General features: G+C 39.7%; 1 protein-coding gene across 7 annotated transcripts in view, besides 2 other annotated features; it reads right to left on the minus strand.

Annotated features, from left to right (window-relative positions):
• Positions 1-14,466, minus strand: part of CERKL (CERK like autophagy regulator) — a 120,434-nt gene extending 105,968 nt beyond the window's left edge. For all 7 annotated transcript variants that reach the window (NR_027689.2, NR_027690.2, NM_001030312.3 and 4 more), the window contains exon 1: positions 14,130-14,466. Coding sequence is in view for 5 of the 7 variants with exons in the window: in NM_001030312.3 (NP_001025483.1) it covers positions 14,130-14,367 (238 nt within the window). In the remaining 2 variants the exon portion in view is untranslated. The remainder of the gene's footprint in view (positions 1-14,129) is intronic.
• Positions 14,104-14,193: a silencer, noted in NCBI's record as "silent region_12157". NCBI's record gives its function as "represses an Ori minimal core promoter by ATAC-STARR-seq in GM12878 lymphoblastoid cells {active_cell/tissue: GM12878}" and the evidence as "EXISTENCE:reporter gene assay evidence [ECO:0000049][PMID:35858748]".
• Positions 14,324-14,553: a silencer, noted in NCBI's record as "silent region_12158". NCBI's record gives its function as "represses an Ori minimal core promoter by ATAC-STARR-seq in GM12878 lymphoblastoid cells {active_cell/tissue: GM12878}" and the evidence as "EXISTENCE:reporter gene assay evidence [ECO:0000049][PMID:35858748]".

Genomic DNA, 24,519 nt, shown 5'->3' on the forward strand with positions numbered 1-24,519 from the left:
TTGAAAAAAACATAACATGAAATTTGTAACTTGAGATAGTAAGTATATGAAAAATAGAGTTATAAGCCATAATTATGATTCAAAGGCCTAGTTTTATTTTTTTTAAAATCTTTGAAACATACTATTTGAATGCTAATCAAGCATTGTATAAAATCTTTACTCAGAAATTTGATAGAGGATACAGAGAAACGAATGAAGAATGGATGAGCTAGTCCTTTTGTCCATCATGAAATAGCTGCTTAAAGCTAGCCTCAACCAATTCTTTTCCTCCAGAAAATGGTTTCTTCCTTTCCAATGACAATACCTACACCAAAGCGATTGCCCACCTCTAGTCACTGTGCCCTAAAGCTGAGTAAGGCGAGCAAAGGGCTTTGACTTATATTTCCCAGGTGGTTCCTCTAATTAGAAATTCATGAGGGCTCTGAAGTTCCTGATGTAAAATACAACACCCCTCCACACACACCAGACAGTGGGCCCCATTGACCATCAAACCTTACTGAGATTTATTTAATTTGACAAAATTCCCTAATGCCTAAAGGCCATAGAAATAGGTATTTTCTTTAAAATGAAAGTTCATAGGTGGTCAGAACTGATAGTACTTAGAGACAATATAATATAAGCCCTTCATTTTGCCAGTGAATAAACAGTAACTCAGACATGTTAAACAACCTGTCCAAAGTCTGTTATGCACCTTGCTATCTGTTGAGACAAGATCTTAGGGCCTTCAGCGGCCACTGCTGAAATCTTTCCTACACCACAGATGGGAGCAGATTATAGAGAGCTGGAGGAGGGAAGCTATAAAAGATCCTGTAGTGCTTTTCATACTTCAAGGTGTTATCCATTAGGAAATTGTGAAGTTAATTTCACAAATCATAATGAGCATTTGTTTGCAATGGAAACAGAGCATATCAGAGTGACTCTTAAATGGCAATGGTAAGAATTGTTTTGTGAAACTTTTGTTTTAGACAAATCACATATCAGCACAGAAATCTGTATAGTATCTGTCAATCCCTAAAGGGCCGTCATTTCAGAGGACTGAGGAAAAGTGGAGGAGACACATGTTTCCAACATGAGATAGCACTGTGAGCATTTGGCATCTCTGTCACAGAGATCCCTAAATTGATCACTCTTAAACATACTAATATATGAGCTTAACATTGCCTAATCTTACCCATTACTTACTCTCCCCATCAGCTTTTCCTTTACGGGAAATAATGACATTATATTTATTCACACAGGACAGTAAACAAATCTTTCTTTGGGGAGGCACAAAAAAATGCCTGACTCTTCTGCTTTAATCGAACATTTCAAATAAAAGCTTACCCCTTGTTAAACAGATGTCCCAAAAGTTTTTCCTTGGTTGAGATGTAAAACAATGCCAACAGGTGATCAGCGATGCTTTTGAAAATACTGAACTCTGAAAATATCTGATCCAGTATCAGCACAAGCTAAGGGCTAAATCATGAAATACGCAAATAAGTCTGTGGCATCTGTCCATGTCCCCTTTCTGAGGTGTATTCTTAATTTTTGACTTCTCACACCCAGTCCCTGGCACCATACTGGGGGTTGGCCCCACTGGGCACAGCACTTGACCTGCTCTGCCTTGGCAGGGTCCCATGACCCAGAGTGGTCTGACCTTTCACACTTGACTTCAAAAACAGTCACCTGATCCCTTCATCATTTCTTCAGGATTTTTCTCATAGGTCACAGCTAGCTTGATAATTACCTTATTTTAACATAAATAAACCCATGTATGATTCTATAATTAAAATGACCATAATTTAAGATTGTAATAGAAAGATCATCAGGCACCACTGTAGTCAATGAAAAAGATATTTTCTGAATTGATGATGCTCTTTCGTAAACACAGTTTATATTATAATGGCAGCATCCTAATCTATTTAAGCCCTGCTCAGTATTTTCTACTCTGCAGCTGAGCAACATGGAACCTTCCTGCCATGAACCTCACATCAGAGAAGTGGATGAACCTTAACTCTTACGATAGAAATCCTGGAATAACGCAAAGTTGAAAAGAACCTCAAGGAGCTTAACATATAATGGGGGAAAAAAACAATCAAAGTTGCATTCAATGTCTCAGTATAGGAGATCCAATTATGCCTAAAGAGAAAACAACTGTAATGAATCTTCATTAATTTTAATGAATGTAAACATGAATCATTCAAATAAAAAAAAGCACAAAGGAAGCTAATTCCCAGCAGCTGGAACAGCAAGAAAGCTTGTGTAGAGAACTAGTTTTGTAATTCTTTCAATTACAGGATGGTAAAATATGAGGAAACTACTGAGAAATGAGGATGCAGAGATAGGCAGGAGCCAAGCATGGAAATCTTATGCCATGTTGAAGAGTGTGTCTCTCATCCTGTTTTCTACTTCAGTGGGCTTTAAACAAGACAGTCACATTCCTGCTAGGCAAAGAGGGAACCCAAACAGACAGACTCAGGATCATTTACCCACCACTCCAATCAAGGCACCCATACTTTTATGTGTTATATACTGGCGATTCATTTAAGAATTTTTTTTAAAAAAGAGTTTTGATGTTTAAAAAGGGGGAGAGGGGAATACTGCCTTTGTAGTTAATGAGGAGTTGGTATCAAGTATATAGGAATGTAGTCACCAAGTTATAATAGAATAGGCAAAACTAAAGTTCATGAGGCCAGTAAACCAGTAACAAATTCATTCATTCAATAAATATTATCTATATGCCAGGCACTCTTCAAGGTGCTGACAGTAAAGAAAAAACATATTCTGAATATCTTCCCTCTCCTCCATCTAGATTTAGTTTCTATCCTCCACCTGCCCTGTTCACTGGGAGGCCATACTGCATGGACTGCATCAAGTGCTCCCCTTGCCCTCTGGCTTAAAGTTGGCTTTGGACTGTGAAATGGGCCAGAAAAGAAGGAACTTGGGTAATTTAGGATTAGTGAGGATTAGTGAGGTAATCAGCCAAGCTGAGGCAAAGGCCACAGCTCCTGCCTAGTGGCCTCCTCTACATAGTCTCTCTGAATCCAGGTTCAGGCACCTGCTCTTTCACTATGCCCTTTTGGGCTTAAAAATGGTATCACCTGCCCAATGATTACTAGTCCCAAGAGTACTTCACTATCTCTATATCTACAGCTTTATAAATACTGACTTTTAAAAATTCTTCTCAAGTTACTCTAATATAAATGTGCCATTTTTTTTCCTATTAGGACAGTCACTAATATAACAGACAAATCCTTGCCATCTTGAAGTGGGGTGGTAATAGAAAGGACAGAGATCAGAAATTATATAGTATACAAGGAGATAAATGCCACTGAGGAATATAAGGCAATACAGGGAACCAGGAAGTATGTAGCAGATGGGAATTTTATACAGGTGACCAGAGAAAGCCTTACTAAGAAGCTAACATTTGTGCACAGGTTCAAAGGAGGTGAAGGAGTAGGTCAAGTGAGAGACTTTGAAGGCCTGAGCTAGGGTAGTGATTGGTCGGACAGAGAAGGATGGCAGATTGGAGAAATACCAAGTAAATAAAGTAGGCAGGATTGGTGGGTGTTTAGAAATAGTGAGTAAGGGACAGTGAGGCTAGAGTTACCTTCAGAATCCTGACTTAGATAACATTCCAGATAGCTTCCTAAATACTCCTTCACTTATTAAGCCAAAATATTCACTACTTACATATGCAATTGTATTATCTAACCCACATAAGCTACAAGCTAATTCTAGTTATCCTAGTTATTGTCCCATAACTTACACAAACCTAAATAGCAAAGTTAAACATTCTGACAGCTGATGCTGAATAATTAGTGAGTTCCATAACCATGATAGGGAACAAAAGATCAGAGTTAGTCTACGGAGCAAGGAAAGTTGCTTTTCTTGTAAACTTACTAAATATATGGCACTTCTGGAGGTAGATGATGGTAGATGAGAACCACAGTGTGCAATACTGACCAGAAAGCATGTAATGAGGAACAGCAGATCAGACCACAGTCCTTGGGACTCCACCATTTGGCAGGCAGATAGAATGAAGTTCCCATGAGAGACTGATAAACTAGGTGCTGGTGGTATTACAAAAACCAAGAGAGTTAAGTCAAAGTCAAATGAAGGAGAAATACAGAAAATAAGGACTGAAAATTTCCACTTCATTGAGCAATTAGAAGACTTCTGCTAATCTCTGCCTGAAGAGTTTCAGTAGAGAAAGAACAAAGCCAGGTCTCAGATGGTTGAAGAATAATTAAGAGGTGAACTAATGGAGATGGTCAGAGTAAGCCAATTTTTCTAGGAGATTATCAGAGCAAGTGAGAAAAAAATAAAAATAAAAAGCAAGGTAGCAGCTAAAGAGAAAAGCTTGTAGGATCAAGGCAGGGAACTGTTAGAATGGGAGAGTCTTGAACATATCTCTGCTTAAGTGAAAGAGCTGGTAGAGAATGAAGGCTAAAAACCAAAGAAAGAAAGTGTAACAGATGAAACAAATTTCTAGATGAAGCTGAAGAGATGGGATGGGTTTGCCTTCAATAGAGATGACTACATCTATTCTGTGGTCATGAATGGAAGCGAATGAAGGCTGAAGGTCACTAAAATGGAAAAGGTCTAGAAAGTCTGAAGCTGTAATAATGATTGCAATATGACCACCACCACTGGCTAGACTTTAGATAAAGAACACTGTGAGCCAGACAACAAAGTTTTAAATAAACATAGAAGAAAAGCTGGAAAATCATACTTTCTCTTCCCTGGGGAGCCCAAAAGACAGCTTGTCAGCCCTCCGAGCCTGCAAGTGTCCAGCCTGACAACTAGCATGACATGCCTGTCCCTAGCAAAACTATACCACCATCAAAAACTCCTGCAGCCTAGGCCACTGAGGAAATCAGACATTGCTGTGAAGATTACAGCTGACGAAACTACACAGAGACCATGGTACTGAATCCACCCCAAACCAAAGCCAATGTACCATACCCAACCAACACTCTAGGACCCATCTACAGGAAAAGTCTCTCCCTGTGAAAGCTACTGCATACAACTGGAAAATGTGACTATTCCACTAGATGTGCAGATGTCACAAGAAACATGAAAAAGCAAGGACACACGACACTGCCAAAGGAACACAGTGAGTCTCTAGTAACAGACCCCAAAGAAAAGGGTGTTTATAAAATGCCTGAAACAAAATTAAAAATAATGATCTTAAAAAAATTCAGCAGGCTACAAGAGAATACAAACAACCCAATGAAATCAGGAAAGTTATAAAATGAGAAATTAAAACAAGATCTATCATTTAAAACACAGAAATCTGAAGAATGCAGTGAATAAAAGACACAATCGAGAGCTTCAAGAATAGACCAGATCAAGCAGAAGAAAGAATTTCAAAATCTGAAAATAGGTTTTGTGAAATAACCCAAAGTTTAAAAAAAACTAAGCAAAGAAATTTTTGCATTATAGAACTGGCAGATGGAGAAAAGTTGAAGAAAGGCACAGAAAACCTATTTAATGAAATAATAGCTAAAAACTTCCCAAATATTGGGGGAGATATAGACATCCAGATGAAGGAACCACAAAGATTCCCAATTAGATTAAACCCAAAAAGATTCTCTCTGTGGCACATTATAGTCAAACTGTCAAAAGTTGAAGACAGAGAATTCTAAAATCTGCAAGAGAAAAGCATCAAGTTACATGTAAGGGAATCCTAATTAGACTATCAGTAGATTTCTCATCAGTAACATTAAATTACTGATGTATGCCAGGAGAGAAAGGGATAATTTATTCAAGATGCTAAAAGAACAAAAAAAAACGAGTCTCGGCCAAGGACAAAAGATACTATATCCAGCAAAACTATCCTGGAGGAGAATAAAGGCCTTCCCAGACAAACAAAAGCTGAGGGAATTCACTCCTACACCAGCCTTACAAGCAATGTTTACAGGAGTGCTACAGCTGTAAATGAAAAAATGATAACTATCATGAACACATGTGAGAATATAAACCTCACCAATAGAGGTAAATGTATAAATCCAACTCAGAATTCCCCAGTGATATCATGTTACTATGTAAACCTGTCGATCCTCTAGATGAAGGTTTAAAGTACAACTGGTCAAAAACAACAACAGCTACAATGGCTAGGGAACACATACTAAAGAAATAAAGGCAACAAAAATATAAATTAGGGATGGCGGAGGAAAAAAGTCTAGAGTATTTTTATGTGACCAAAGTTAACTTGCTATCAGCTTAAAATAGTTTATTATAACTACAAGACTTTTTATGTTAGCCCCATGGTACCCACAAAGAAAGCAATTACAACAGATACATAAACAAGAGATAGAAGGAAAACAAAGCTTAGGACCACAGAAAATGACCAAACCACAGAGGTAAACAAGAGAGAAAGAAGAACTGAGAATCTACAAGACAACCAGAAAACAAGTAACAAAATGGGAGAAATAAGTTCTTATCAATAAAAACCTTGAATGTAAATAAATTATCTAATGAAAAGATATAAAGTAGCTGCAGGACTGGAAAAAAAACTCAGCTACATGCTGCCTAAAAGAGGCTTACCTCACCGTTAAAGACAGACTGAAAGTGAAGAAATGGAAAAAGATATTCCATGCAATCAGAATCCAAAAGTGAGCAGGAGTAGCAATACTCATATCAGACAAAATAGACTTTAAGTCAAAAACTGTAAAAAGAGACAAAGAAGGTCATAATATGATAAAGGGATCAATTCAACAACAGGATATAACAATTATAAACATACATGTACCTAATACCTAAGTACCCAGATACATACAGCAAATATTCAACCTAAAGAGATAAACTCCAATACAATAATAGTAAGAGACTTTAACAGCCCACTTTCAATAATGAATAAATTATCTAGACATACATACACAAACACACACAGAGAGATCAAGAAATATTGGACTTAAGCTGAACCATAGACCAAATGCACCTAGCAGACACTTACAGAACATTCCGTCCAACAGCTGCAGATACACATTCTTCTCAAATGCACATGGAACATTCTTGAGGAGAGATCACATGTTAGGCCACAAAACAAGTCTTAACAAATTTTAAAAGATTAAGATAATATCAAGTATCTTTACTGACCACAGCGTTATAATACTAGAAATCAGGCCAGGTGCAGTGGCTCATGGCTGTAATCCCAGCACTTTGGGAAGCCAAGGTGGGCAGGTTGCTTGAGCCCAGCAATTTGAGAACAGCCTGGGCAACATGGCAAAACGGCGAAAGCCATCTCTACTAAACATACAAAACAAAACAAACAAAAACAAAAAACAAATTTAACCAGGCACAGTGACACACACCTGTAGGCACAGTGACACACACCTGTAGTCCCAGCTACTTGGGAGGCTGAGGTGAGAGGATTGCTTGAGCCCAGGAGGCAGAGATTGCAGTAAGCCAAGATCGTGCCTCTGCACTTGGGCCTGGGAGACAAAGCAATACAGAAGGGAGGGAGGGAGGGAGGGAGGGAGGGAGGGAGGAAGGAAGGAAGGAAGGAAGGAAGGAAGGAAGGAAGGAAGGAAGGAAGGAAAGAAGGAAGGAGAAAGAAAAGAAATAAACTAGAAATCAACAATGAGAAAAACTGACAACTTCACAAATCATGGAGACAAAATGCTCCTAAACAACCAATGGGTCAGTGAAGAAATTAAAAAGGAAATTAAAATTTTTCTTGAGACAAGTGAGAATGAAAATATACCATAACAAAACCTACGAAACATAGCACAAGCAGTTTTAAGAGGTAAGTTTATAGTATTAAATGCCCATATCAAAAAAGACAACAGATTTCTGACAAACAGCCTAATGATGAACCTCAAGGCACTACAAAATTAAGAACAAACTAATCGGCCAGGCATTGTGGCTCATGCCTGTAATCCCAGCACTTTGGGAGGCCACGGCAGGCAGAACACCTGAGGTCGGGAGTTCGAGACCAGCCTGACCAACATGGAGAAACCCCGTCTCTACTAAAAATACAAAATTAGCTAGGTGTGGTGGCACATGCCTATAATCCCAGCTACTCAGGAAGGCTGAGGCAGTAGAATTGCTTGAACCCAGGAGGCAGAGGTTGCGGTGAGCCGAGATCACACCATTGCACTCCAGCCTGGGCAACAAGAGCGAAACTCCATCTCAAAAAAAAAGAAAGAAAGAAAAAAAAGAACAGAACAAACTAATCCCAAAGTTGGTAGAAGTAAGGAAGTAATTCAACTCAGAGGAGAAATAAATGAAATAGAGACTAAAAATAATTTCAAAAGATGAACAAAATTTAGAGTTGGTTTTCAACAAGTTTCATCAAATTTGATAACATAGAAAAAACGAAGTCCCCGACACATACAACCTATCAAGATTAAGTTAGGAAGACATAAAATCTGACCAGACCAATAATAAGTGAGGAAATTGAATCAGTAATAAAGTCTTTCATCAAAGAAAGGCCCAGAAACGAATGGCTTCACTGCTGAACTCAACCAAACATTTAACAAACCAATATCAATTCCTCTCAAAATATTTCAGAAAACTGAAGCAAAGGGAATACTTCCAAACTCATTTCATGAGTCAAGCATCACCCTAATTCCAAAATCAGATAACAATACAACACAGGAAACTATAGTACAATATCCCTGATGAACATAGGTGCAAAAATTCTCAAGATATTAGCAAACCAAATCCAACAGCACATTAGAAAGATAACTTGCTACATTCAAGTGCGATTCATCACTGGGATCAGAGGCATGCAAGAATGGTTTAACATACACAAAGCAGTAAATGTGATACACATTAACAAAGACAAAAACTGTATGATCATTTTAATAGATGCATTAAAAGCCTTTGACAAAATGTGGCATAATTTCATGATTAAAAACCCAACAAATTAGGTATGGAAAGTTTGTACTTCAACACAAAGGCCACATATGACAAATCCACAGCTAACATCATACTGAATGGGAAAAGACCAATAACGAGATCAATTCTAAGATCAATAACAAGGAAAGGATGGCCACTTACACAATTTCTATTCAACATACTACTGAAAGTTCTAGCCAGATAAACTGGGCAAGAGAAAGAAGTAACGAGCATCCAAATTAGAAAGAAGCATGTCAAACTGTCCCTGTTTGCAGAAGATATGATCTTATAGATAGAAAACCCAAAATGCTCCACAAAAGAACTGTTAGAATTCAGTAAAGTTGCAAGACACAAAATCAACATATAAAAATCAGTAGCATTTCTATACACTAATATTGTACTATGTGAAAAATCAAGAAAACAATTCCATTTATAGTACTTTTTTAAAAAAAAAGATACCTAGAAATAAACAACCAAGGAAGTGAAAGAATCTCTACACTGAAAAGTATAAAACTTTGATGAAAGAAATTATCTTCCCACATCAATAAATGGGAAGATAGTACATGTTCATGGATTGAAATAATTATATTGTTAAAATGGCCATACTACCCAAAGTGATCTATGGATTTAATGCAATTGCTATCAGAATACCAACACCATTCTTTACAGAAATGTTACAATCTGAAAATTCATGCAGAACCACAAAAAAAACCCCAAATAGCCAAAGCAACCCTGAGCAAAAAGAACAAAACTGGAAGTATCATACTACCTGACTTCGAAATATACGATAAAACTATATCAACACAGCATGGTACTAGCATAAAACCAGACAGACCCATGAAATAAAATGGAAAGCCCAGAAATAAATTTTTGCACCTACAACAGCCAACTGAATTTTTAAGATGTCAAGAACATGCACTGGGAAAAAGACAGTCTCTTCAACAAATGGTACTAGGAAAATCAGATATTCACATGCAGAAGAATGAGATTAAACCCCTCCCTCTCACCATATACAAAAATAAAAATAGATTAAAGATTTAAAATGTAAAACTTGAAAACTATGAAATTACAAGAAAAAAGGGAAATTATTCTCGACACTGACCTGAGCAAGGATTTTTAAAATAAGACCTCAAAAGCATAGACAAAATAAGATTACATCAAACTAAAAAACTTTGCACCTTGAAGAAAACTATTAACAAAGTGAAAACAGCTGCAGAATGGGAGAAAAATATTTGCAATCTATACATGCGACAAAGGGATAAAATCCAAAATATATAAGAAAATTAATTCAACAGATAAAATAATAATGACTTTTTTTTTTTTTTGAGATGAAGTCTCACTCTGTTACCAGGCTGGAGTGCAGTGGCACTATCTCGGCTCACTGCAATCTCCACCTCCTGGGTTCAAGCAATTCTCCTGCCTCAGCCTCCCAAGTAGCTGTGACTACAGGCATGTGCCACCACACCCGGCTAATTTTTGTATTTTTAGTACAGACGGGGTTTCATCATGTTGGCTAGGATGGTCTCGATCTTCTGACCTCGTGATCTGCCCGCCTCGGCCTCCCAAAGTGCTGGGATTACAGGCGTGAGCCACTGTGCCTGGCCAACTTGATTTTTTAAATGGGCAAACGACTTTAATTGATAGGTCTCAAAAGAAGACATATAAATGATCAACAGGTGCATTTAAAAGATACTTGACATCACTAATCATCAGGGAAATGCAAATCAAAACCACAATTAGATACACCTCACTCCAGTTAGAATGGCTATTGCCAAAAAGACAAAAGAAAATAAGTACTGACACAGATATGGAGAAAAGGGAACACTTACACACCGGTGGTATGATTGTAAACTAGTACAGTCAATATGGAAAACAGCATGGAAGTTCCTAAAACAATTAAAAATAGAAGTATCATATGATCCAGCAATCCCACTACCAGGTATGCATCCAAAGGAAATAAAATGAGTATGTTGAAGAGATCTGCAATCCCATATTTACTGCAGCACTATTCACAATGGCCAAGATATGGAATCAACCTAAGCGTACAACAATGGATGAATAAAGAAAATGTGATACAGAAACATAATGGAATACTAGTCAGCCATTAAAAAATAAAGTCCTGTCAATTGTGAATGCTAAGCCTGGAGGACATCGTGTTAAGAGAAGTAACCCAGACACAGAAAGACAAATACCACATGTCACTCACATGTAGAATCTTTTTCTATTATAAAAGGTTGATATAGATAAGGCAGAGATTAGAATAGTTACCAGAGACTGGGAAGGGGAGGGGAGAAGGAAGGATGGAGAGAGGTTAGTCAAAAGACACAAAGTTACAACTAGGTAGGAAGAATAAATTCTGGTGTTTTGTTGCATAGTATGGTGACTATGGTTAACAGTAAAATACTATATATTACAAAATAACTAGAAGAGAGTCTTTTGAATGTTCTAACCCACAAGGAAATAATGAAAGTGTGAGGTGAAGGATAACTAACTACTTTGATTGGATAATTGTACAACGTAAATATCAAAACATCAAATAGTATCTCATAAATATATACAATTACAATGTGTCAATTAAATTTTTTTAAACAATTAAAAAGTTATTAGACCAGCTGTTGGATCTGGTTGAGTTAATGTGCTTAAGAAGCACATGCATAACTTTATATCACACATTTAAAATATTTCTCTACTTAAAAAAAAAAAAAATCCCCAAAAAGCGCTGATACTTTGTGCCTCCCAAATTGACTTATAGCCTCTTTTCGAAAGCCTCACTTCTACAGGGAAGGGTAATAACACATCCATTATTCCAGGTCATCCCTGAACCCAATAAAAAGAACTACAATTACTACGGTTATGCTCATTTACCCTGCCAACAAGACCATCAATTTGTCCCAATTTTGGCAGTCAGAGCCTTCATAAAATACATTAATGTCTTTGCTTATTACTCAAGATGGAAAATTAGAAAAAGATCACATAGTATTTTATTTCATCAGTGAAAACAAAGTACTATGAGGTTTAAAAACTAAGCAATCTTGAAAACATACGTATGTTCTAATAATCTCCAGTGATCTCCCCTACCCACCCTCATCCTTTTCTGAGGCAGCCAGTCACTTGCCAACCAGCAATGGACATGCTCTCCCCCCACCACATCCTACCATATCATGTCCTCCCAAGTACAGTAACTTTGATGTAGCTCCCTCTTCCATTTAATCTTTTACCACTCACATCTAAGCTTATTCAACAACAGAGCATTTCTAACATTTAAATATATCATCTCTTAATATCTCCTTCTTATTTCCCAGTGTTTGTTTTTGTTTGTTTGTTGTGCTTTTTGAGATGGAGATTCACTCTTGTTGCCCAGGCTGGAGTGCAGTGGTGTGATCTCCGCTCACAGCAACCTCCAACTCCCAGGTTCAAGCAATTCACCTGCCTCAGCCTCCCAAGTAGCTGGGATTACAGGGACACACCACGCCTGGCTATATTTTACCTAAATAAAACATCTCTTGGTTTCTTCCATAAACAGAAGTACTTACTAAGGCTCTAGGCTTCTGTGCCCCCAATTTTAGAGGCCCAAAGTGGTTTGAATACCAGGTATTAATTACAAAGAAAAAGGGTACACCTGTATGAAGGAAAAGACCACCAAATGGTTTTAGGGCATAATTAAACAAAGAATCAGTACTTGCAACCTTTAAAGTTACAAATCTGTCAAGATGTATTTTAAACTCTACTGCCAGGGGTGCACTAATTAAACCTATTTTACCTTAATCACCACTCAATATAAAACAGCATTTCTTTTCTCATGTCATTGTTTGCTTTTTTTGTACACAAATACTGCAACATTGGTTTGTATGACCTCTCATTGCACAATGTCTCATTTTAATTCTATAGCATTTCAGCTGCACTGTAGGTTAAACTGGCTCTTTGGGCTAATCCAAACTGTAATTATAAACTTCTATATTGCATAACTCGAATTGCCTGAAAGACTTACAAATAATTCCATAGCTATATCCCTAGCTTTTAACTTAAAAGGTTCAAGAAAATACTACACCTTGGTTTTTAAAACACCTGAAAACACTTTAAGGTCAAAGACTGTTTTCGTGAAGCGAGCGAGCATGGCACATGCAGCACAGGCAGAATTCACAATCGCAACCAGTGCTGAATCCCTGGCTAGTTGGTTTCATTTTGTTAGACTTTTGAGCAAGACTTTAAGACAGTGAGTCTATTCTGTAACATAAATACCACACTGTGTCTTGTTTTCCAACAGGGGAAGGCAATTTTTTTAATTTCATAAATTTGTATTTAGCTAAAAGAGGTTGAATACCAAATTCCATCTCCCCCAAGTCATCTCCTCGCAAGTAGAGTAACCTTGATGTAGTTCCTCCCCCATTTCATCTGTCTTTCACCGCTCACATCTAAGCTAATTCAACAATGGGGAGTATTTCTCGAGTTTGGACTTAGAAATAAGACTATATGAAAGTCTACTTATAAGACTTGCAAAATGGTCTTTATAAAATATCTGTTAAGTCTATAAGGCTATTTGACTAAGACGTGAAAATAGACTCGAAGTATTTGTTGTAAACTACAGCATTATAACTTTTTTAGGTAACTAAAATTTTAAGTCAATAAAAGGCAAACGTTAAGCAAACCGCTTGACGTAACTAAGCATCGCAAAACTGTGATCCAATAATCTAGGGTCAATATTAAAAATCAAAAGTTTCTAGACCGAGCCTGAAGAAGTCTTAATTCTAGACAATGGCAAGGAAGGTGAGGGGCAGAAAAAAACCCAGAAACACTCCCAAAGCTCTGGAGTTACATTTTCAAGTCAGCAAAATGAGAGTTGGATTCAGAACTCTTGTGTAGGCATAATCTGTGAGATGTTTATAGTTTCAATGTACCATCAAAGTTAATGGATTAAAACTTTTTCAACTTGGAGGGGAGGAGTAGTTGACCTTCTCACATTTGTAAATTACCTCCCCTTTGGGGCTCAAGATTTTCTGCTGAGACTCTGAGCAAAAGCTGCTTGTGACGTTTGCCCGGGGAAGGTCTCGGAGGCGGGAAAAGGCTAGGTAGCGAAAGAATCCCTGGGGGTTCTGGGATGGGGCGAGAGGCGTGAGTTCCCAGTTGGGAAGGAGGAGGCGGCGACTTGGGGACTCGGTAACCTGTCCGGGCAGTGAGGCGAGCACGGGGAGGGGAGGCGAGAAAAGGGGAGGGTGGAGCAAAAGCTCGTGGGTGTAGGCCTTGGGCCGGGGAGAGGGAGGAAGCGCGGAGGGAGGCGAAGACGCTTGGGGCCGGGCACTCACCCGCCGGGCGCTCGGGCTGAATGGGCCGCCACCGCAGTGCTCGCTCGCTCAGCACCACGTCACAACTGTCCCTCCCGATCTCGAAGATGCCCCGGAGCAGAATCCGCTCGGCCGCCGCCTCCGTCTGCTGCGGGGACGTTAACAGCGCCGGAGGCACAGCGGCAGCCTCCGGGGGCGCCTCTTCCTCCCGGCCGCCCTCCAGGGCACTCACCCGGTTCCTGCGCCTCCTCCAGGGCATGGCGGAGTCGCAGGCTGGGCCCGAGCCAGGGGTCCGGGGAGGCCTTTGGAGAAGGAGGTGGAGGGCGCGGCAGCCCCAGCTCTAGCCGCGTCCAGCGCTGCCACAGCAACGGCGCGCAGGGCAGGGACCCAGGAGGGAGGCGGGGCCGCGCCTGACCCAGTCCAGCACCCTGGCCTGCCAGCCTCGCCGCTTCGCCACTCACCACAAAAAGACCCAGCTGCAAGAGGAAGAATAAGTGGCTCCCTCCGCCTAGCTTCTCCTGTAAAGTACGATTTCGTACTTTTCGTTACCCTCGAGTTAAACCAGCCCTCCTCAATCTTAAACTTGCATATAATCGCTTGGGCATCTTGTTCAAATGGAGATTCTTATTGCATAGGTGTGGGACTGGCCCCCAGATACCACATATCTAAGAAAATACTAGGTGATGGATCCCACTGGCCAAGGAACACACTTAGAGTTGCAAGGGTGGAAGCCTCTGTTTTTCCACCTCCTTTCCAGAGGGTTCCCTGGAGAGCACAGGTGACGCTTTACAACCCTGTTTCAGAGTAGTAGCGCACTTCCCAAAACCCCTGAGGGGAAGCTAGAGATAAGGCCCTGGTTTGCATAGACAAATTTGCATCTGACAAATTCAGTATTAAAGGTAAGTGCCTCCAGGTGTAAGTATTTAGGGTCCTACTTTCCCCCAAGGTAGCGCCTCTGCAGTCTTGTCTTTGCCTGGATCTTGCACTCCCTTGAGGGAGATTACAAGCAGCAGGGCTTCACTTTCACGCACTGCCATAAAGAAGTGTCACCTGGAAAAGGAGAAGAGCCCTGGGGGGGTTCACCCTTTTCTCCTGATAACTGAGATTTCTAAAATCAGCTGCTCATTAATTTTGATAACACAGAGAGTCTGGAGGCTAGTGATTCTCAATTGTGGTTGCACATTAAAGTTACATAGGGAACTTTTGAAAACCCAAATGTCCAGGCCACGCTCAAGACAACTAAGCTGGAATCTCTGGAGGCGAGACCCAGACTTCCGGATTTTTAAAAGTTCCCAGGTAATTCCAATGTTCAGCCAAGGCTGATAATGGCTGCTCTAAGCAGGGTGATAAAACAGGGAGCTGAGTACTTGTAATGGGGAAGCAGTCAGGAAGAAAGTGAGTCCCTGGGAAGAGGAGCAGAGTGGGAAGTAAAGCAGAAGGCTTTTTTTTTTTTTAAACAAGATCATTATCATCATATTGAAAAGAAGGAGTAGGGGAGTTGAAAAGGAAATTAAATTCATAGGGTTGTAGATCTAGTTCCAGTGTTCTAGTGCCTAAACAGTTCTATCATAGAGGCAGCAAATTCTTAATTCTGTCCTCATTCCTGGTCACACTGCAGAGTCACAGAAAGAGCTAACTATAGCAGGAGTTTCTCAAGGTTCTTAGCTCAGACGGTTTGTAGGCCTAACCAAATCCCTACCAAACATAAAGCACTGTGCACCAGTTAAGCTAGGACTCTTACTGTTTAATGCTCCGACAATAAGTACCCAAGCTTCGAGGAAAAGCAAGGAAGAGCTTCAGTTTGATCTGACTGCAGTGAGCTATTTCTTAGAGCAGAAGTGCAGCTGCTGCTAAACCCCATGCAGGCTTCAGGTGGCTCTGTTCAGCAGTCATTAGAGGGAAAAGGACGGTGCCCTTCGCAGAATGAGTTGCAGTTCTGGAGTCAGCATCTTGTATTCACAGCTGTTAGGCAATCAACACAATTAGAGCTCACTGGCATTTTAAAAGCTCACCCAGAGCCAGTGCAAACAGGCCAAGCCAATGGCTACTCCTTAGGAGCTTTGCAAAGGGGCAAGTTGCCATTTTTCAAGCTTCACTCAAGCCAGGAAGTCAAAAACACTGGCTTTGAATTGTCCTGAAGATGGAAGTAATAAGGATTGTGTTTCCTTCTTTCTTTCTTTTTCCTTTGATAAGCTGCCTTCTTCCAGGGCTGGAGTGCCCTAGGGCTCTCTTTAGGATCTATCCACACACTGTCCCGTGCTTTATGTACCATCCAGGGTTCTGCAAATGATGTCACCAGCTCCAACCACTCTCCTGAACTTTAGGTATTATGTCCAGCTCCCTACCTGACATCTCTACTTGGCTGTCCAATAAGCTTCTAAAACATATCTAAAACCAGACTCATGATTTTCCATCACAAACCTGTCCCTCTCAGAATGTTTCAAATCTGTAGTATCAAAATCCTTGATATCATCCATGTCTCCTTTGTCTCATGCCTTCAATCCAATCTACCAGCAAATCCTGTCCATTCTGTCTAGAACATATAGTCCTTTCTGCCTGCTGTCATTGCAGTCTGCACTTCTGCACCCCTCAGCTGGACAACTTCAGTCTCCGCTCTCCCAACCCAGCTCTCTGCTTTCGGTTTCCCCTGTGCTGGCACCTCCAGCCCAGAGCCAATTTTCCATTTTGGAGTTACATTGTGCCTTTAAAAAATAACGAGAGCATATAACCCTGCTCACAGCCTTCCATTGACTTCCCATTATTCTTGGAATAAAGTCAAAATGCTTAGCAAGGCGAGAGGTCCTTTATAATCTGGACCCTGGCTATGTCTCCGAGATCACCTACTAACTTTTTCCCCTTGCTCATTCACACAAAGCCTTCTTGCCAGTCCTCAAACACATTGAGAAGAATAATCCCTTCTCAGAGCATTCGCTTTTGCTGTTCCCTCTGACTGGAATGCTTTTCTCCCCACCAGATGGTTCATTCTTTCACTTTGCTCATTTTTCTGTTTAAAGGCCACCACCTCAAAGAGGCCATTCCTGAGCACCCTCCATAATTCACCATCCTGTAAACCTGTGTATTCATTTCTTACTGCTGCTGTATCTAATTACCACAAATTTAGTGACTTGAAACAAAACCAATGCATTGTTTTACATTTCTGGAGGTCAGAAATCCAAAATCAGTTTCACAGGACTAAAATCAAGGTGCCAGCAGGCCTATATATTCCTTCTGTAGGCTCTAGAGGAAAATATATCTCCTCTTTTCTGGCTTCTAGAGCAGCAGTCCCCAACCTTTTTGGCACCAGGGACTGGTTTTGTGGAAGACAGTTTTTCCACGGATGGGGGCAGTTTGAAGGGGTGAGCATTTTGGAGGCATTAGATTCTCATAAGGAGCACAAACTAGATCCCTTGCATGTGCAGTTCACAGTAGGATTCAGGCTGCTATGAGAATCTGATGCTGCCACTGACCTGACAGGAGACAGGGCTCAGGTGGTAAAACTTGCTTGTCCACCAGTCACCACTCACCGCCTGCTGGGCAGCCTGGTTCCAAACAGGCCACAGACAGGTACTGGTCCATGGCCCAGAGACTGGGGACCCCTTTTCTAAAGGTCACCTGTGGATTTTGTTTTGTTCTGTTTTGTTTGTTTTGGCTCATGTTCACTTTTTCCAACTTCAAAGCCAGCAGTCTAACATCTCTCCTCTTTGCTTCTATCCTTAAATCGTCTCTTTTCCTCTGTCTTTGACCTTTGTCCCCCGTCTTAGATAAGGACTCTTATGATTACATTGGGCCTGCCCAGATAACCCTTAATTATGTTTTCAAAGCCTCTTTTGCTATGTAAGGTAACATATTCACAGGTTCTGGGGATTGAAACATGGACATCTTCACGCTGCCATTAATCTCTCTACCATAACCTGCTTTAGTATTCTTTACAGCACTTACTATTAATTCTTATTACATACTTCTTTGTTTATTGTCTAGCTTCCCCACTAAGTTAGTGTACTTAGTAACAATACTGAAATACAGAGAACACTCAGTAAATTTTAAGTTTGTTAGAATATAAGCCCCCTGATGGCAGAGAATTTATCTTGTTCACCATTAAATCCCCAGTATCTATCACAGTTCTTAGTACACAGTAAGTGCTCAATTAATATCTGAAAGAATGAACTTCTTCAACATTTATCTATAACAATAATACCAAGATACCCCAATTATTTCACGTTAGTTCCTGAAGATCAATTGTCTCATTAGTGATTCATGTGTATATATATATATGTTTATATATATGTGTGTGTGTGTGTGTGTGTATATATATATATATATATATGTAAAATACTAATGCATGAAAATTGCTTTCAAAAAACTTTCAGGAAGCTTCCTGAACATAGCTTTCCCTCCTTTGGCTGAAGCTTGGGTATTTGTTTCCAGAGCATTAAACAGTACAGGTCCTAGTTTAAAAGGCACTTTGTTGCTTTATGTTTGGAAGGGATTTGACTAGATCTGGAAACACAGTCTCCATCCCTGGTTCTTAAAAATCCAAGTCTGAGTAGAAGACTGTAAAATATATCCTGCTATTGTTAACATTGCTTTCAGGAGGCCTTTAAGTATGCTCTGAAAACAAATACCCAAACTTCCAGAAGAAGGGCAGCAAATCCCCAAGTAATAGGCCAATGAGACAGACTCTGGAAGTCTGGGCCACCTTCTCAGTGCCACAGATAGAGGGAGAAAAATTCACAGCCGACAGAGACATTCAGACCCACTGCAATGAGGGCAACAGACAAGGAAGTCTAATTCCAGTCAGGACCAACTGCCATGGATCTGAATTTTAGCCAGTGGGTAATCCTGTGGTAGTCCCTTTGATCTCCCTGAGTCTCTGCTGAAGTTTGGAGTTTATGTGACAAGTGATTGAGGGCTTATGCTATCATCAACATAGTTCTTTCTCAAACTCCAGTTTATAGAATTTTTTTTTTATTAAGAACTTCTCACTGCAGGTAGAATAAAATCCAAACTTCTATTATGACATATGAGACACCATGTTGTCCAATTCCTGCCCACCTGCTCAAACCCTCTTTTCTATCAGTTTTCTCCTATTATTAGTATGTGTCCTACCACACTGGCCTTCATTCTACTCTCCAGATAAGCCAAGTGCATTCTCATTTAGGGCCTCTGCTGTTGCTGTCTACTCTGTCTGGAACACTTTTCACCATGGTAGAGCTCCCCATGGTGCCCAGGCCAACTTCTTGTCACCTCAGAAGGTCTTCCCTGCCCAACCATTCCAAAATTGACCTCTATTCAATAATATTTTCTTAATTGCACTTTACACCATGTAAAAGTATGTAGTTGATTTATAATGTTTACTTATTTCTGTCTCCTCTCTTATATCAGATTAGTACCTCAGTTGAGAATAGTGATTTAATCTGCTTATTTATGGCTCTATCTCTTGTGCCTGAAACAGTGCATTTATATAACAGATGCTCAATAAATGTGTTAAATGCATGATAAGTAAACTTTTTAAATTTAATTCCTTTATTAATTTCAGATATTTAACATGTCTCAATGGTGAGAAGAAAGGTTAATAACAGCAAATTGTATTTACTTTCTCCGTGTCAATATATATTTTGAGTGAGGTGAGTTTTAGTTGTGTCCACCTCTCAAACACTTGTAATGCTAAGTGGGCACATCATCAGTGTATCAAGGGGACTGCTTCCCTCTCATGCTGAGTGGGAATTTTGTCAGAATGTTCCTGCTATTCTGGCTCCTGCTGCCCAAAAGGTACAGGGCCATATGTCCCTACAACAATTACAGAAAAAAATAGAACAAATCCTAGAATCCCGCCAAGTCAGAATATCAAGTTTTCTGCACATACCAGTTTTTTGTACTCAGATGGAAACTGTTAAAAGTGAATTGCTCAGCTGTATTCTAAGACACATCTCACCCAATATGATCTCTAGCATCTCAATCAGCAGTAACAAGAAATAACACAGGCAAGAAAAGTAGGCCCTCCCTTTTCCTTTCCTCAAGTTTTTAAAAGCTCCTTTTTAGATAGGTTCTAATATTCATAAACTTGGAACAAAAAAATGAAATGTATTTCCAGCAAATAGGGAGCTTGAAATATTCTCACAGTAATTGCTAGCAATGCTGTATTGTAGAGTCTTGAATTAGGTGTAACCAGGCACACAAATGAAATAGGCAGTTTAAGTCAGAAATCTATCCTCATTTTCTATACTATATGTATATATGGTTTCTATGATAGCTATGAAAAAGGCATTATACTAAGTGGCAACATCCCTTCTCACTATTGAAAATAGCTGACTAATGTATACATCTATATACCCACAAAAATAAAAATAAATTTTAAAAAGAAAGAAAATAGCTCACTTTCTTGAACTTCTTACCCATAGGCATCAAAAAATTTGACACTAGACTTGCTGTCTTTGACTTTTGCCTCATTATTCATCACCATTTGGAGGCACTTCAGTGCCTGTGTCAACAACCTGAACAACTAAGAGTGGTTTACAAATAAGATTTTATTTCTGACATTAAAAGAGGTCCAGAGTCAGGCTGTTCCTGGGTTGGTTCATCCCATATGATGTCATTAGAAATCAAGAGCTTTTGTAGGTTGCCTGTTCACTCTGATGGTAGTTTCTTTTGCCGTACAGAAGCTCTTTAGTTTAATTAGATCCCATTTGTCAATTTTGTCTTTTGTTGCCATTGCTTTTCGTGTTTTAGACATGAAGTCCTTGCCCATGCCTATGTCCTGAATGGTATTGCCTAGGTTTTCTTCTAGGGTTTTTATGGTTTTAGGTCTAACGTTTAAGTCTTTAATCCATCTTGAATTGATTTTTGTATAAGGTGTAAGGAAGGGATCCAGTTTCAGCTTTCTACATATGGCTAACCAGTTTTCCCAGCACCATTTATTAAATAGGGAATCCTTTCCCCATTGCTTGTTTTTCTCAGGTTTGTCAAAGATCAGATAGTTGTAGATATGCGGCGTTATTTCTGAGGGCTCTGCTGTGTTCCATTGATCTATATCTCTGTTTTGGTACCAGTACCATGCTGTTTTGGTTACTGAAGCCTTGTAGTATAGTTTGAAGTCAGGTAGTGTGATGCCTCCAAGCTTTGTTCTTTTGGCTTAGGATTGACTTGGCGATGCGGGCTCTTTTTTGGTTCCATATGAATTTTAAAGTAGTTTTTTCCAATTCTGTGAAGAAAGTCATTGGTAGCTTGATGGGGATGGCATTGAATCTGTAAATTACCTTGGGCAGTATGGCCATTTTCACGATATTGATTCTTCCTACCCACGAGCATGGGAGAAAATTTTTGCAACCTACTCATCTGACAAAGGGCTAATATCCAGAATCTACAATGAACTCAAACAAATTTACAAGAAAAAAAAAACAACCCCATCAAAAAGTGGGCAAAGGACATGAACAGACACTTCTCAAAAGAAGACATTTATGCAGTCAAAAAACACATGAAAAAATGCTCATCACCACTGACCATCAGAGAAATGCAAATCAAAACCACAATGAGATACCATCTCACACCAGTTAGAATGGCAATCATTAAAAAGTGAGGAAACAACAGGTGCTGGAGAGGATGTGGAGAAATAGGAACACTTTTACACTGTTGGACTGTGAACTAGTTCAACCATTGTGGAAGTCAGTGTGGCGATTCCTCAGGGATCTAGAAGTAGAAATACCATTTGACCCAGCCATCCCATCACTGGGTATATACCCAAAGGACTATAAATCATGCTGCTATAAAGACGCATGCACACGTATGTTTATTGCGGCACTATTCACAATAGCAAAGACTTGGAACCAACCCAAATGTCCAACAATGATAGACTGGATTAAGAAAATGTGGCACATATACAGCATGGAATACTATGCAGCCATAAAAAATGATGAGTTCATGTCCCTTGTAGGGACATGGATGAAATTGGAAATCATCATTCTCAGTAAACTATCACAAGAACAAAAAACCAAACACTGCATATTCTCACTCATAGGTGGGAATTGAACAATGAGATCACATGGACACAGGAAGGGGAACATCACACTCTGGGGACTGTTGTGGGGTGGGGGGAGGGGGGAGGGATAGCATTAGGAGATATACCTAATGCTAGACGACGAGTTAGTGGGTGCAGCGCACCAGCATAGCACATGTATACATATGTAACTAACCTGCACAATGTGCACATGTACCCTAAAACTTAAAGTATAATAATAAAATTTAAAAAAAAAAAAAAAAGAAAAGAAATCAAGAGCTTTGTAGCTTTCTACTTCACTATCACCAGGTAGCAACAAGGATTCTATTGTTGGCCCCGAGATGGCTGCAGGAGTGCTAAGCATCATACCCTCTCCCAAAAAATGTCCAAAAGCAAGAATGGAAGGGGCATTTGTAGGTTTTCCTTGGGCATTTCTTTTTTCTTAACCAGAAAAAAAAATATTTTCAAAAATCCCACCCAGCAGACCTCCTATCATGTCCTATTGTTTAGAATTGGGCAACATGCCTGTGCTGTAGCTTCCAGAGAGACTGGGAAAGGTGTTTTCAGCTTCCAGGTGGGAGGTGAGACCTACTAAAAAGGAAAAAGAATTTGGGGATGAATATTGATGAGGCAACTAACAGTGTGCTATCTCCTTTTTCCCCCCAGGCTGTATAATTCATCTACAACTGGATAACAAAAAAACTTTAAATGTATTGACTTAAAGCAACAATGATTTGTTATTCATTATGATTCTGTGAGTTGGATGAAGTCAGCTCAGTAGTTCCGCTCTATGAGGTATCAACTGAATGTACTTACATTTAGCTGGAAGCTCAGCTGGGGCTGAAATATCCAAGATGGCTTCATTTGCATGTCTGGCATCTCATCTGGAGCGGCTGGAATGGGTGGAAACTAGCTGGGCCTATCTCTTTTCATGTGGTCCCTCATGATGAGTAGTCTAGCCTGAGCTTTTAAAAAATGACATTGAGTTTCAAGAGAGTAAAAGCAGAAGCTGTCATGCCTCTTAAGGCCCAGGTCTAGAATTGGAATAGCATTACTTTTGCTTCTTGCTGTTAGTCAAACAAGTCACAAGGGGAAATGGAAATAAAGCCCTTCAGTTGCTGGCAGGTGAAACAGTCACATTAAAAAAGGGAATGTATATATGGACAGAAGGAATTTTTGGCAGCCGTCTTTGCAGATAGGCTAATACAGTGGACCCTGTGGGTGTGGTTGTCAGTGGTTAACATCCCTCCCATTTGCAAAATATGTTCACTTTCTTTCAAGTCTCACCCAATTATGATATCAAGTGAAAAATCCAGTATCTCATAAATGTCGCTCTTTGAGTGTGCTCCTCTTATTCTGGGAACCTAGGAACTAAAAACACATGTTATCGTCCCACACAAATCCAACATACAATAATGAGACAGAGGATAATCAAGATAGATGCACCCATTCAAAAGGGAAAAATATAGAAAGCATATCACAGTCACTGGTCCATAGCAATTCTGAAATTCAGGAGAGCATATGTTGCCAGTTTCATAGACCCTGAGAAAGAAAATGTTCCTATCTCACATCCAGATCTGCTCTCTGAGAGTGGTTCCCTAATTCATCATTCTCAGCAGCTCTTGGCTCTAGCCTCTGGGCTTTTGGTTCTGCCTCCATTTTATTCTTCTTTTCAGCAAGAAATGGCCCATGATTACAGCCAAGTAGCTTTTTCAGCCTTCTTTTTGTCCATAAAACATTGGAGGTACAGAGGCTTTTAATGTTAAACTTGTAAACCAAACATAAAATTCCAAGCCACCCAACCATCTCAATGGACCCCTCCTCTCAGCCAAGGACATTCCAAAGTTAACCTGAAAAACTAGTTCATGCCATGATGGGAAAAGGGACTCAGACATGCCTCATTATACTCTCCTCCCTTTTGGAATTCAGGCACAGCTGACCAGCATTAACATCAACACTGAGACCTAAAGACTGTTAGAACAGACTCTTTTAAGTCTGATAAGAAACCTTTACAATCTAATGTCTCTGAAGCCTGCTACCTAAAGCTTCATCTGCATGATAAATTCCCTTTTATTAATTCCAGGTCTTAAGATAATAACTCAACCAATTCCCAATCAGAAAACCTTTGAATCTGCCTGTGACCTGCAAGCCTCCACTTTCAGTAGTCCTGCTTCTCTGGACTGAGCTAATATTCATCTTACATGTATCGATTGATGTCTTATGTCTCCCTAAATGTATAAAGCCAAGCTGTAGCCTGATCACCTTGGGCACATGTCATCAGGACCTTCTGAGGCTGTGTCACAGGCATGTCCTTAACATTGGAAAAATGAACTTCTAAATTGACTGAGGCTTGTCACAGATACTTTTAGCTTACAAACTGTTTGTAAATGGACAAAACTCCTACAGAAACTTTGTGAGCTT

The sequence above is a fragment of the Homo sapiens genome, chromosome 2, assembly GCF_000001405.40.
Source record: "Homo sapiens chromosome 2, GRCh38.p14 Primary Assembly".
NCBI lineage: Eukaryota > Metazoa > Chordata > Mammalia > Primates > Hominidae > Homo > Homo sapiens.